The 15,527-nt window shown below is 40.8% G+C and overlaps 1 long non-coding RNA gene and 1 pseudogene across 2 annotated transcripts in view, besides 1 other annotated feature; one reads left to right on the top strand and one right to left on the bottom strand.

Moving 5' to 3' along the window:
- Positions 1–11,598, bottom strand: part of PGM5P2 (phosphoglucomutase 5 pseudogene 2) — a 67,615-nt pseudogene extending 56,017 nt beyond the window's left edge. Inside the window, exon 1 of the transcript NR_002836.2 lies at positions 11,161–11,598. The product of NR_002836.2 is annotated as a phosphoglucomutase 5 pseudogene 2 (transcript). The remainder of the gene's footprint in view (positions 1–11,160) is intronic.
- Positions 11,479–11,588: a silencer, noted in NCBI's record as "silent region_19920". NCBI's record gives its function as "represses an Ori minimal core promoter by ATAC-STARR-seq in GM12878 lymphoblastoid cells {active_cell/tissue: GM12878}" and the evidence as "EXISTENCE:reporter gene assay evidence [ECO:0000049][PMID:35858748]".
- Positions 11,482–13,394, top strand: LOC124902161 (uncharacterized). Its single transcript, XR_007061510.1, has 2 exons — positions 11,482–12,274; positions 12,949–13,394. It is a non-coding gene; the product is annotated as an uncharacterized LOC124902161 (long non-coding RNA).
- Positions 13,395–15,527: the final 2,133 nt, after the last annotated feature.

The following is a 15,527-nucleotide window of genomic DNA, read 5'->3' on the forward strand; positions in this document are numbered from 1 at the left end:
AGCTTGGATAACGACTGCACTCCAGCCTGGATGACAGAACAAGAACCTGTTTCAAAAAAGAAAAAAGAAAAAAAAAACCTAAAAACTAAAAACTGGATGTAGTTTGCTAATAACTAAACAGCAAATTAATTGTAACATGCTTACATATCAACGATGTCTTTCTTCTTTAATCATAAACCTGCTCACTAAGAAGTGCTGAAGTCCATGGTAGTGACAGGTACATGTCTGCATCCTTGTCCTGACCTGCATCTTCTTTGATTGTCCCCATCTGTGTCTCCGACTGGCACTGCCGAACCGGCTTGCTACCTGATCAATGTTGTACTGAACCAGACTGCTAACTGATCAATGTTGTTGAGCTCACTGCACAAAGCTGTTCTTACAAGGTAGATTTCTGCCTGGAATAGTCATACTTACACTGTTTATATTCCTTACTCCTGACGCATCCAACGCAGCACAAGTTCTATTTATTGCCATAGAAACATAGGTCATTTGGAAACACCTCCTTCATTTCTATGGAATGTTCAAACATTTCTGACATTTTGGACTCTGTTCTAGCCTCTTGTTAAATATATCCAGAAAAGAGACAAAGCTTTATGGGGGGGCTATATGCACACATATGCTATAGAATAAGCTATCTAAATGCTTAAAAATACTTTCCATCTGGCACTGCACCTTAATAGGTAGACAGAAATTAAGTATGTGTATATCTATCTGTATAGATACGTATAAATATATATCCCCAAAACAAAAACTCATTCTCTTACTTATACATAGGTAGAATATAGGTGAATATACATATACATTCATAGGTAGAACAAAAAAACCCCTCAGCCTCTTTAGGGCCATGTGTTTTCTCTGAGTAATTGTCACAATTAATTAAAATACATGTGTATGCCTTTTTAGATAAATTCCATCAGACCAGTTTCTGTCTGGTTGGAAAGTAATAACTGCCTATTTGCTAAGTGCCCCTGCCCCCATACTATGTTCCAGTGAACTAAAGACCTCTGGCAATCATAGATTTACAACTCAGCAAGATTAAACAATTTATTGTTATTTATGACATCCAAGCTGGATCTTCTGTATTATATTCCACATTAGCATCTATCACTTTACATTTGGGAGATCCTGTCCAAAAAAAGATTATGCCTCCTAACCAAACATTCAGCAGGGCTGCAGGAACAGGCCCCCTGAACAAACATCCTGCCAAAGTACTTTAAAGCACCGTAAGCTCCCACAGCTGTGCATTTTCAGACGACTCAGCAGATTAGCGTGGAGTCTCTTAGCCTCTGCTTGGTCTGTTCCTTTCAGTGATCTCTCACATGGCCCAGTCCATTCGGTTTGAAAATCCTCATGAAATGAGCAGATTAAGATCTGGCTTCAGTAGAGGGCCAAGGGGTGGGCATGGAGGGGAGAGGGTTTGCTCTTAACACAGCCTGAGCCTCAGAAAGGTTTCAGATGGAAAAGCATGGCACTGACTCAGCTCATGCTTAACAAGAAATAATGCACAGACCACAGCAAAAAAGCCCTTTATGTTGTGTGAAAGTCTATGCCGGAGCAGCTGCTGCCACCTCATGTACTGTGATAGAGTGTGCATGTGTGTGTGTGTGCATGAGTGTGAGTACGCACACAAATGTGTGCTGGGAGGGGGAGGAGCTCACACCTTCCACAGTCGCCACCTCAGCCTTAGCTAGCAGCATGGAGAAATGCCAAAAGTCAAGAGGAAGCTGCACCAAAGCAACTGTGATCACCACATCAGCAGGCGCTTTCTGGTTAGTAAAGCTACTGGGACTGAAAAACACACACGATCTCGTCCTTCTTTTATTTTAATCAGAGCAAAATATTTTTATAATAATTGTGTTATATGAATAAATAATTCATAATGCTGTAACCCATTATCACATTCAATCCTCCCAACAACCCTAGAAGATATGTAGACAAGTATTATTACTTTCCCTATTTTTATAAATGAGGAAATAAACCCCAGGAGGCTAGGCGACTTCCCCACGGTCATATAAGTTGCAAACAGTAGTATCATGATTCAAATACAAAGCTTCTCCTTTTGTCTTTATCATTTTAATTCTGAAGGTAATGCATATGCATGTATGATCTTTTAAATCCAGAGATGTATATGGAATAGATAGGAAAAGGGACTCTCCTTCCCCATTATACACCCCCTCCACCCAAGCTATATCCACTGTTGACTAGAGTATGTCCTTTCAATCCTATTTTCTATGCCTACATTATATACAGAAAAGCAGGATTACATTACACACAATATTCCAGTCATTGCTGTTTTTCACCAACAAGCTATCATTCACATCTTTTTCATACTATACATAAATTTATATCCTTTATTTTAGTGGTGTATATTGTGCGGTTGTGTCATAAATTATGTACCTGTTCTCTGTTGAACATATAGATTTTTTTCTGAGTTTTTCCTTAGCAAAATGCTGCAGTGAGTACCCTTGTACATAGATGTTTGTACATTTGTTCTAGAAAAATCTACAGTAAAGATTCTTAGATTAAGAGATTCCCAGGTTATTAGAAAACTTCTCTATTAATTTAGATATATACTTCCAAATTGCCTGACCAAAAAGTTATGTCAATTTAACTTCTATGAACAGTATACAAACATGACAATTTTCCATCACCTACACCAACTCTGGGTAATTTCATCTTTTTTACAAGTTGATGGATTGTTTTAATTTATATTTCTCTGGTTATTAATAAGGTTGGCCACCTCTTCATGTGTTATTATTGATGATATTTGTATTGAATTGTTTGAATTTTCTTGATTTGGAAAACCTTTTTACATGTCATAGATATTAAATATTTGTTGTAAAACTCTCCTTCCAGTATTTTGTATATGTTTGGTCAAGTAGAATAAACTCTTGTCCTCTGATTTCAGATTCCTTTCTCTTTCCATTAGAAATCCCTAAATGTAAAACTACATATTGATAGCTAAAAACCAGGATGTTTACTAGAGAAAAAGAATACAAAGGCAATAACTAAATATTATATTTATACAAAATACCTACTAGTACAAACTTAAAAAGAAAAAGTAAAAGTCAAATGCTTCTACGACTTCAGACTAAGAAAAAGAACTTTTGAGGTTGAATGTTCCTGAAATTTTTCTTTTCATACAACTATGGACATGACTTCAAAAGTTGATGTTACTAAAAATGTAAGATATGAAAGATATTTGAAGACTCAGAGAAGGTGGATTTTCATTTTAACAAGTCACATATATATTCTAGATATCCTCTTATTCGTAACTAAGAGAGTCAAATCAGATGAAAGAATCTAAAAATTTCCCTTTGACTGTGTTAAGTAGAAGTAGTAGAGGCATATTGGCCAAATCTTGAGTGTTTGCAAATTGACTCTTAAGGCTATAGCCTGGCACAGGTCATTGAAGCCCTAGCTTTTTATCTTTAATTTTAAAATCCCCAAACAATTTATACTAATTTTTCTTGTCCATTATTTCCAAATAATCTTGTTTAAATGTTATTACAGTGCTTGCTCATGTTACTGTTGTCTAACAGAAGGGTATCCGGGGCCTTAAAACTGAGAGGGTTAGGATTAATGATTCCAATACCTATGCTTGGACATCTCCAAAAGTGGGTTCCAACTTCTTGTCCTCAAGTCTGTATAGAAACTAGCAAACTTCCAGAGTTCACAAAGGCTCAAAGAGAACAGATGTTTTATAGAAAATTCTTAGAGCAAGTTTCATGCATAATGTTGCTGATGTGTGTCTGCCTTTTCAATAAACATCACTATGCTTTATCACAAGATTTAATAAAGCAGCTTAGTTAAAAATGCCATCTGGGTCTCTGGACACATTAAACAAAGCTTAAAATAACCACCCCAGCAACTGGGAGGACCCAGCTGTTCTCATAATCTGTCCCACTCCTTTTACTTCCCCATAAAAAGAGTGAATGAAGACCACAGACTAAAAGCATCCAGAATGAACTGACACAAACAGGGAGATAGATGGAGCCGAGGGCTCCTGTAAGTTTGCTATTGCTCACATAATAGATTTGCTAATTCCACAACCTGGGGATGGTGATTCAGAAAGGGAAGCAGAAAGAGGGAAGAGAGAATCATAGAAGGGCTCGTTCAAGTTTTCTAATGTATCACAAACCTGTCCTCCCTAATGTCTGGATCATAGCAGCCCATTCCATTCACCTATTCTGTAGTGAACTCCAGTAGAAAATACAAAGCCATCACCACCCAGTTCTTTCTCCCTTCTAGAGATGAGATATTAGCCACCCAATCCCAGATTCTCAGATCCATTCCAGGAAAGAAGCCCTAGGTATTGAAGCACAGCTTTCCCTCCCTCCCTTCTTTCTTCCACCCCAAGATTTGTTCCCCAGATAGTTCTAGTAAATGTAAAACCAAGTATATTCTCATTCTTTAGAGCAACCAGCTTTTCATGGCCAACTGGAATCAAATACAACCTGCACAAACATCTATCTGGAGGACACTCCCAAGGCTCCTACTGAGCCAGCCTTCTGCATACCACTGCATTTCAGCTTCCTAGTTCACAAGACACTGAGACATTCTTGAATTCTGCAAGGTGCACTGTGTGTTAATACCATTGCTGCTCATCATGTGGCCAATAAAGGGCATGACTAGTCAACAAATAAATTTTCTCTTGGCTAAAACTTGCAACAAAACTGTAAGCTGTTTACCAAGGGGCCCACTACAGGTTATATTCAATACATACAGTCAAATCATAATTATCTGAGATATATTCAGTTGACCATACACCTTTATATTTCAGTAAAAGGTCTTTACATTTCCCAGTGCTATCAATGTTACAAAGTGTTTTCATATGCAGTGCTTCATCTGATTTCCAGGATAATTAAATGATCCTGTCATACCTGATTTTTAGATGAGGAAACAAGTGGTTTCTGGGTATTTCAAGAGGCTAACACATCTGCCCTCCAACTTGTATGTGAAAACCAAAAACAAAATTCCAAGGCCCCTCAACCATCTGAATGGACTTTGACTCTTTTGGTCAATATATGGCAGAGCTAGGAAAAGAAGGTGAGTCTTCCAGCTGCTGATACAGGGTTTTTTCTGCCATACTCCATTACCTCCAAGGCTAAAGTCAAAAGAGGGTGTGGTTATCACATGAAAAAATCTGGTTTGGATTTCCCAAATGTGTATGTAGTATTTGGTGATTTACCTTAATTTAACCTACAGTTCTTGTGGGTTGTAACAGTCTGACTCCATTTTTGAAAACAAAACAAAATCGATTTTAAATGCTGAATTATAGATCTTTGCTGTCCAGTATGGTAGCTACTAACCACTTATGGTTATTTGCATTTCTATTTTAATTAATTAAAATTAAGTAAAATGCAAAATTCAGTTCTTCAGTTGCTCTAGTCACATTTCAAGTGTTCAGTAGTCACATATGGCTAGTGGCTGGGACAATGCAGATTACAGAACAGTTCCATCATCAAAGAAACTTCTATTGAACAGTGCTATTATATAATGTCATCTCCAGAGAAAGAAGACTTTAGAAAAAGTCAGAAACGGCCGGGCGCAGTGGCTCACACGTGTAATCCCAGCACTTTGGGAGGCCAAGGCAGGCAGATCCCTTGAGGTCAGGAGTTCAAGACCAGCCTGGCCGACATGGTGAAACCTCGTCTCTAGTAAAAATACAAAAAAATTAGCTAGGCGTGGTGTTGCATGCCTGTAACCCCAGCTACTCAGGAGGCTGAGTTGGGAGAATCACTGGAACCCAGGAGGCGGAAGTTGTAGTGAGCCAAGATTGTGCCACTGCACTCTAGCCTGGGTGACAGAGCAAGACTCCATCTCAAAAAAAAAAAGAAAAAAAGAAAAAGAAAAAGTCAGAAACATCTTGAGGCAGGCACAGTGCTGTCATCTGTCCAATATTGAAGATGATTTAAGAATAAGAAAGAAGAAGAGAACAAAGAAGAGAAAAAGAAATTGCCTTAGGTGTACCCACCCAGAAAAGGACAAAGGCATTCCTGTAGTCATTGTGTTGTATTTTAGCTCTTAAACTTTTTAAGAGATTAGAATAATTTGACACATAGAAGATCTAAACCACTGAAGAGGCTCTGAAGCAGATAAAAGTAGAAAGAAAATAAAAAACTAATTAGTTACAAATTAAGCTTAACCACAATTCGTTTAAACGATACTATTTACTCTTCACATGATTGGTTTTTCTTTTGCTTTATAGTATGACATAGTTTATATCTTTAAAGGGGAATTAAAATATTTCTGGGAATTTTTAAAAGTAAGTTCACACAGCCACATAAAAACTACAGAAACAGACAAAACCTATCTTCTCATTTATTCCCTAATCCATTCAAATTAAATATAAAAATCCAAGCATCCACAGTGATATTCAAAAAAGCAAAAGTGAGACAAAACAAAATTCATTTGTCACCTGTGGAGGTAGTTACCTCACCTAATCTTCACTCCAAACACCAGTAATTTTTAAAAGACAGAAATAAACATATGTTCTGCCTTCCCAGAAGGAACTATGTTTCAGGGTAGCCAAATAACCCAGTTGTGAAGAAAATGGTCTGCTTATAGAAAAATGCCAGCTAAAACATGTAGATAGAATTAGAGAATTAGAAATTCACCATTTTGAAACCCCTAATGAAATAATCAACTCAAGCAAGGATCATTAATAAATGCTAAAACAATCAAGTAACTATTGATACAGAATATAACTGAATATACACATGGTACAAAGTTCACATCACAGACTACTGGCTTGACCCAAGGGGGAATATAGCAGAGGAGATAGGCAGTGATCACCCTAACCTTGCGATCATCTCACCATCACTAATGATGGAATGTGAATACACATTATTGCCTATGAAATAGTCTTTAAAAAAAGAAGTTGAACCTGAATCTAACTAAACCTTGCAATGGGCTGAACGTGTATGTCTTCCCAAAATTAATATGTTGACATCCTAACCCCAAAGGTGCTGGTATTAAAAGGTGGGGCCTTTAGGGGGTCATTAGATCATAAGGACAGAGCCTTCATGATTGGAATTAGTGCCCTTATAAAAGAGGCCCCAGAGAGCTAGCTAGTCTCTCCCACTATGTGAGGGCCCAGCAAGAAGGCCAATCTATGAACCAGAAAGTTGGTCCTAACCAGATATCAAAACCGCATGCTCCTTGATCTTAAACTTGCTAGTCTCTAGAACTGTGAGAAATAAATTTATGTTCTTTATAAGTCATCCAGTTTTTGGTATTTTGTTATAGCAGGCCTAAAAGCCTTTAGAACTAACTTCCAGTTAACCAGGAAAAAACAGAGTGAAAAGTTAAATGACACCATAAAAAGCAACCAGAAAATTCCAGAAGGGGAAATATTCTACAGGACAATTGACTAGTCTTTCAACAAGTCAATTTCACTAAATAAATACATAAACAAAGAGTAAGGGTATTTTCCAGGTTAAAAAAGTCTTGAGCTAAATAATCAAATGCAATGTGTGTCCCTTGATTAGAAGAAACTAATTTGAACAAACCAGCCACAAAAGATATTTCAGGGAGACCAAGCTGGAAGGATCACTTGAGGCCAGGAGTTTGAGACCAGCCTGGGCAACGTAATAAGACCTCCATCTCTACAAAAACAATAAATTAGCTGGGCATGGTGGTGTGCACCTATAGTCCTAGCTACTCAGGAAGCTGAGGCAGGAAGATCACTTGAGCCCAGGAGTTTGAGGCTGCAATGAGCTATGATTGTTTCACTGCACTTCAGGCTGTGTGAAAGAGCAAGACTTTGTCTCAAAAAATAAAAGGACATTTCATAATAATTGAGGAAATCTGAATGTGGACTGGGTAATAAATGATATAAAAAACATTTTTTATTTTGTTTGAAAAGGTGATTTTGTAACTATACAGGAAAATGTTCTTATTTTTTAGAAATCTGTACTAAAGAATTTAGGGGTAAAATATAATTTTCTTTAATATATTTTCAAACACAAGCAAAAAATAATCATGACACAAATATAGCAAAATGTTTACAATCTATGTTCTATGTTTGCCTATGAGTGCCATTAATCTCATCTCTCTGCTTTTCTGAAAGTTTGAAAATTTCAAAGTTTTATAATAAATTTTTTTACATCCCATAATTTTATAATAAATTTTTTAAAGTTTGAAACAAATCAACAACTATAGCTTCAAAAATATCCTGACCCACAATAAACATTGAACAGGGTATATTTCTCCCATTTCCTAAAAAAGTTGGCCCAGGAAGGAGTATGAGAGCTGCCATAGCTCTCCCAAGGCTCATTATTCTCCATCACTCCATGGGAAATCCCAAAATAATTTTTTTTAAAAGTTGTTTAAATTTATAATGTTTTTGATTCTATAATAATTTTATAATAAAATAATTTTAAAATGTTTTTGATTTTATATTTTTAATTTATAAAAATTTTTATACATGTTTATGTTTGAAATGTCTATTTCAAACTTTATGAGATATTAAAATATAAGTAATATAGTTCATCATTTTAGAAATGCCATGTTTTTCTTCTCCAGCAATTACATAATCAAAGAGTAACTAGTTTTTCCTAGAACATTGCTTTGTAGGCTGGGCATGGTGGTTCATGACACTTCAGGAGGCCAAGGCAGGCAGATCTCTTGAGATCAGGAGTTTGAGACTAGACTGGGCAACACAGAGAAACCCTATGAGTAGTAAAAACACAAAAATAAGCTGTGCATAGTGGCATGCACCTATAGCCCCAGCTACTCAGGAGGCTGAGGTGGGAAGATCACCTGAATCTGGGGAGGTCAAGGCTACAGTGAGCCAAGACTGTGCCATTGCACTCCAGCCTGGGCAACAAAGTGAGACCCTGTCTCAAAAAAAAATGAAATTTAATTTAAAAAATGAAAATTGCTTTTTAAAATTAACTTTTTCCATCAAAACCAAGATTGTTCAGATATAGAGAATGCAGCCCACTGGTCAGATTTGTCAGTTCAAAAATAATAAATTCTAGTTTTCTATTTTTCTAGCCTGCTTATGATTATCCAATAGGATATCAAAAAAGACCAAAGCCTTTGGGATCCAAGTTCAGTATTCCTGAGTCTAACTCAGAATGCCAAATCAGGAGACAAGCACATTCTCATCAATTTTCAATCATTCAAGACCAATTTTGCTTATAATTATCCAGTTCTTTTAGACCACCTTTCTCCTGAAGCCAGCCTTATGGCTATTCACTTCACTTTAGCATAAGCCCCCAAGAAGGTGAACAAAATGAGGAAAAGATTGGTTAAAGTTGGCTGTTTGAAATTCTGAAACATGTCCACCATTCCCTTCACCCATGCCCACCCCTCTTAGAAGTAGTACTTTCAGATTCTTTAAGAGTCGATGCTTCTATGTGGATTTTAATTTGTCATCTGTCCTTTATAACAGCTAGTAGGTTTAATTTGACTCTATTTTAAGCATATATTGACCTATGCTAATTATCTGTTAAAATAAATTCCACTCTTAGAGTTAATAAAGTGTGTTTGTCATAGAAGGCCCATTGAAGTAAGAAGCTGAGGAGCCCTTATGGTAAAGTGGGACAAGAAATAATAAGACATAATAATTTTCCCATGCAAATCAACAACCGTAGCTTCAAAAAATATGAAAGACCATTTGTCAACCTCTCTTCAACTCCCTGATTCTAGCCAAACTTCATCAATCCCAAGTGAGGAGCCAGAGAGAAATCAAACCCCATATATCCAGCATCATTGTCTACTGGAGTCAAAAATCACAATTCCACTACCCACCCCAACACCACTGGCCCTGTTTCTCCCAATTGCTTTTTATTGTGTTTTTAAAAAAATCCTCTTTCCCCATCCCTGCAACACCGAGAAGGAGGAATTATAGTAGATAAATATGAAGCATGGAAATCCTTTAAAATTGTTTTTAATAATAAATGAGAAAATGAAAAGGAGAGGGTTGGGAAGGAAGGAGGGAATTCAAATGCCAGGGAATTGTTCAGTTTCGCTTTTAAAGATGTTAACACTCATTTATACATCTGCAAGACACTCCCCTTAAAGAAAAGTTCTATGAGTGTGGGTCTGGTTGCATGAATAAGGATAAAATTACTTTTTTAGACGATGTTTCCCACATATAATTCAGAGACCCCTGAAATTAGGTATCCCTCTTGTAGATGTCCTTGAGATGCTGCTGGACCTGGGAAAGAGGAAACTGGGATATGGGTCTATGCCAAAAGGTGCTTCTAGTTATAGGACAGAGAGGAAAGGGGCAGAGGGAGAAAAACCCGAAGTCTGAGAATCTGGATTGCAGAAGACTACCGAGTTCGTGGGAGAAGGGAGAGAAAACAAGGATGAAAACCGAAAGGGGAAGAGGCATGAAATGTTGTCAAATGTCAAAAAGGCATTTGGAGAGAAGTTGGGAATTGCATTAAGAAAACCACTGCAAATCTCATTTCAGACCATTTAGAGATATGCCCCCTGGGAACTGCGAGCTCAGGCTGTTTAGCATCAAACAAATGGATCCACTCCATCCCTACCCTAATTAAATAAATCATTCAGTAATTCCACTGGGTTAAAGAACCAAAATATTAAAAACCTTCAGGGCCTGCTCTTGCCAAATATGTCAGGGATCGTGTGTGTGTGTGTGTGTGTGTGTGTGTGTTCTGACACACCACTACTGTTAAATAGGCAGAGCTAAGACTTAGGGGACTGGCAGATTATTGCAAAAAGGGCACGGGGCAGAAGGACTATGTTGTGAGCCTGCGAAAGAAGTTTGTGTGGGGACTGTGGGCAGTGAACGCGTTGGGAACAATATGGAAAACTGGGAGCTGCCTTGGAATCTACAGGGCCGGGTAAGAGAATGTCCGAAAGAAAAATGAGCAGGTGCGGGATGTGCGCAGAGTCAGAGAAGAGTCCAGGGCGCCCGGAGTGGCTCCAGGAACGACGGAAACCCCTCAAGGCTTTTGGGGGCGGTGGGTACTAATAGAACCCAGTGTCCGGGGTGCGCCGGGGAGGCTGCGAGCGCGGCGGGAGTGGGGCGCTGGAGGGTGAGGACGTGGGAGTGAGGTAGCAAAGCTGGGGCCGGGCAGGGGCCTCCCAACTGGGCCCGGAGGCAGCAGGGGGACAAGGGCTAGGAGAGGGCATGGCGACGGCGCGGCGGGAAGCGAAGGGCATCCGGACACTCACCCCGTTGGCCGCGGCCATCTGCACCACGATCTCGATGGCCGTCCTGCTAAAGTACCTGCCGTCGCTGCCCACCACCATGGTGCAGCCCTGACGGTCGCGCAGGTCGATGGACGACAGCACGCTCTGGATAAAGTTGGGCAGGTAGTTGCGCTGGCCCTCGAAGAGGCCGGTGGGTCGCCGCAGACCCCCGCCGCCGGACGGCCGCTGGTCCTCGTAGGGCGCGGTGGGCACTGTCAGCACCGGGATGGGGCTCCCCTCTATGGCGCCTCCTGGCCGGTCCTGCTGCGGCTCCCGGAGCCGGAGGGAATCTGCAGCCTGCCGGGGGCCCCCACCAGCCTGGCTGCGCGCCGGGACTCCGCCTCGCGCCCGGGGCCCCCTCTCCAGCAGGTCGGCGCCCTGCGCCCTGCGCCCGCCCGCCTGGGGACCGCCCGCCCCTCCTCTCCGCGCGGCCGCTCGCTGACTCCCTCGGCAGAGATTGCTTCTGCCTTCCTGTAAAGTTTTCTCCCGCCCACCTTCTCCGCTGCCAGACCGCCCGAGGTGCCCTCAGTTTCTCCCCAAGTTGGACTCACTTTCGGGATGTCCCAAAAGCCTGATTCCAGGGCCTGCTAGCCCGACCCCGGTGACGCCTCCACCCGCGCCTGGCCCCAGCCTTCACCCGCGCTCGCCGCCCTCCGGGACACACCCTCCGCCAGAAAACAGCCGGCGGGCGGCGAGACTTTGGGCAGAGTCCGGGTTCCTCTCCGGCGCCCGGCCCGTCTCCCTATCTCCTTGGGAGTGCGCACCAGTTTCTCTTTAGAACAAGGACGGGGAGGGATTTGGGAGGGGGCTGAAACCTTTTGCCATCAGCGAACAGCCTCAGCCAAAAATAACCCTGGAAAGGCGAGCTAAGAATGGTTATCTCCTGCCAGCGCTGAAATCGGAGGCTGGGCGCTGCGTGCTGTGTGTGTGTGTGTGTGTGTGTGTGTGTGTGTGTGTGTGTGTGTGTGTGTGTGTACGTACCCTCCCACCCCGACCATTTGTTGAAGGGAATCACCACTGTCAGACTTCAATCCAACAGGACCCACTCAAGCCATCCACACTTTCCCCAGCCTCCTCCAAAACAGCACACTTTCCGGTATGGACAATTTTTTTTTTTTTTTCACTTGCTTGTTTGTTGTGGTGGTTGCAACAGCAGCAACACAGATGACACATATCTCCCTATTCTTCTCGCCCTTCTCACCCTCCCTACCCAGCTCCTGCCTTAGAAACAGGCTTGTCCTACACTGTATCTGTCCACACTGTCTGAACTCTTCCCTGAATTAATCGTCTTCAATAGGAGGGGGCTAAATCCCTTATTAATGCCCTACCAGGAGTGAATGAATAAAGCCAAGTTAAAGGAGAACTGGGTACCAGATACTGTGCTAGGTTCCTTTGCATGTATCCTTTCATTCTGCTGGAGCTAAAGATTTTCTGCCTCCTCTCCATAAAACGCACCCAAACTCCAAAACCAGGAAATTCTCCATAGAAAATAGGAGTGAAGAGAGAAAAGACTAACAGGATAAAACCCAAAGCAGGAAGAAAGTTCTATCTCCCATTTCTCTCAATGAATTTTTGGACCCACCAAGGCTACTGTCCTGAAATATCCTGCTGCTTCTCCTTCCCCAAATATTGTCCACTTCCTGAGAGTAAGGCTGACTTGCAGCAGGCTTATAAAGTGTTTGGTCACAGTAAGACAACTGTGAGTAATAACACACATTGTATACTGTTTTGCAATTGATAAAAGGCTTTGCATCTGTTTTTTCTTTGGAGGCTGAAGAAAAGAAGAATGGTATTCACGCAGTTCCCATTTTACAGATGAAAACAAGAGGACTTTTTCTGTGAAGTCAAGAAAGTGGTTACAATGGTACTTTCAGCCTGTCCGAATTATGTATTGCCCCTCCCCTTTTTATTAATAACATTGAAGTGTGATGGGAAAACCACTGAAGCCGTCAGTTGAAACCTGCTGGGACTTTTTAGCCATTCTCTTCAACATAAAGAATGGGTGTTTTTGGAGGGGGTGAGAGGAATGGGGAAATGTTGTCAAAGAGTACAGTGTTTTAGTTGAGACAGGAAGAATATATTTTGTTGAGATCTACAGCACAGCATGGTGACTGTAGTTAACAATGAAGTATTGTGTATTTCAAAATTGCTAAGACAATAAATTTCAAATGTTCTCACCACAAAAAAGATAGGTTTTGAGGTGATGAATCTATTAATTCTCTGGATTTAATTATTCCACAATGTATACATATATCATAACATCACATTATACCTCCGTAAATACATACAATTTTAATTTGTCAATTAACATTTTTTTAAAAGAATAGTGTGGCCAGTTGGGGAGGTAGTTTTTTTTTTTTTTTCCTCTAGTCTCTACTCAGTCTCCAAGATCCCATTCCCCATAAAGTTCCTGTCACCCAGGTGGAGTGCAGTGGCACAATCATGGCTCACTGCACCCTCTCCCTCTTGGGCTCAAGCGATCCTCCCGCCTACAGGTACATGCCACCACGCCCAGCTAATTTTTGTAGTTTTTGTAGACATGGGGTTTCACCATGTTGCCTAGGCTGGTCTCGAACTCCTCAGCTCAATCAATCTGCCCACTTTAGCCTCCCACAGTGCTGGGATTACAGGTGTGAGCCACCAAGCCCAACCCATAAAGTTCCTAACTTTTTATCTCCCTGGGAGTGCACAGCCTACACACACCAGTTTCTCTTTAGAACATACTTAAGAGTCTTGGCTTAGCATCCAACAGACAGAACTTTAACACTTCTAGGGATCTGTGCACCTGTCTATGGTGTGGGGTTTTTAAGATCTCTTTCTAATGACACTTTATTTTGCAAAGCAGGACAGTTTCATTCCCAGAAGAGCAGGTATGGTAAATCCTTTGTTCCAGTAACAAAGACAATGATCCAAACCCTAAGCCTCAGAGAAGCCCAGAAACTCTCCAGGCCTCCATCTCTCTGCTCCTAGCACCTGCCTCTCTCTTGACATCAACATCATTCTCCCCTCTCACAGCCCAGCTCCTTCCACAGACCCAGGGATTAAGCACCAGCACCTCAGACTAGATTTCAGAGAATTACCATTCAAGAGGCAATCCTCTTCCCTTGGTTCCAATTTCAAGGTTCTCAAAGACTGGAACAGGGCTAGTTTGAGGCAATGTGCCCCACCGCATAGCCAGAAAGAACCTTACAGTGAAAAGGAAAACAATTCTTCCAAAGTAAGGGGGTGCTGATCCCCAGAGGGAGGACAGATGGGCAACCAAACAGTAACCGGGCCACCACGTGCTTCACACTCACTGATCAAGGATTTCTAAAACCACTTTTCTTTTCTCTGAATTTATATAGGACTTTGTATCACTCATAAAGGAATGTCTTATAGGCTGATAACACCTTTCTATTCATGCTTATACTTAACATTTAGGCTAGGATAATTTCCTAACCTCAGTGTCCTCACTATAAGATGGGAATTATTATAATCCCTACCTCATAAATTGTTGGGAGGATTAAAATACTTAGTAAAGTGCCTGACTAATAGAAAGGCATTCAATAAATGTTAGCTATTCATGATGTCATCATCATTATATTTACCATTATTACTCATCTCCTGTATTGCAAGAATTACAGTTTATATTTTCGTAGACCATCACTGTAGCTAAAGGGTCTTTGGGCCATAGGTGATATTCCATAAAGGTTGGTTAAATTGATCTGTGGTTTTTGACTATGGAAACTCAGAACTCCCTCAAAATGTACAAAACAGATTTACCTGCTAAATAAATCTCTTCAAAGCTGACCCCAGGTTTAATTGAATTAATTCCAATGAATTTGTCACAATGATGGAGAAAGGAAACTTAGAGGGCCCCACAGTTGTTTGCTGGTAAAATGAGAAGTTTGGATTAGATCAATGTTTCCCAAAATATTTTCCTCAGAATGTTAGTGCCCCTCGAATCCTGCACAAAGCAAGAGTTTCATGACCAAGTAGCTTTTAAAACTCCTGTACACTCTACTCCCATTCTTCACAATGCACACTTTCATATTAAAAGTTCTGAGAGGTCCTCAACAGAAGACATCACTTAACTTTTTTTTTTTTTTTTTAAGACAGATTCTCACTCTGTCACCCAGGCTGGAGTACAGTGGCCACCACTCCTGGCCTAAAAATTTTTTAACCTGGTGCTTCCCAATCTAAACTCACAGGGACCAGTTTTCTTAACGAAAGAGAATCAGACTAGCTTGTAACCAAAGCTGGTGACACTCCCCTGCCCCATTCCTTGTATGTCCTCAGTGGACTAGGTCAGGAATAAATAAATTTTCCTGATTCTCAAGGGCTGGTCACTCATTTGCACTGAGCTCAAA

The sequence above is a fragment of the Homo sapiens genome, chromosome 9 (assembly GCF_000001405.40).
Source record: "Homo sapiens chromosome 9, GRCh38.p14 Primary Assembly".
Taxonomy (NCBI): Eukaryota; Metazoa; Chordata; class Mammalia; order Primates; family Hominidae; genus Homo; species Homo sapiens.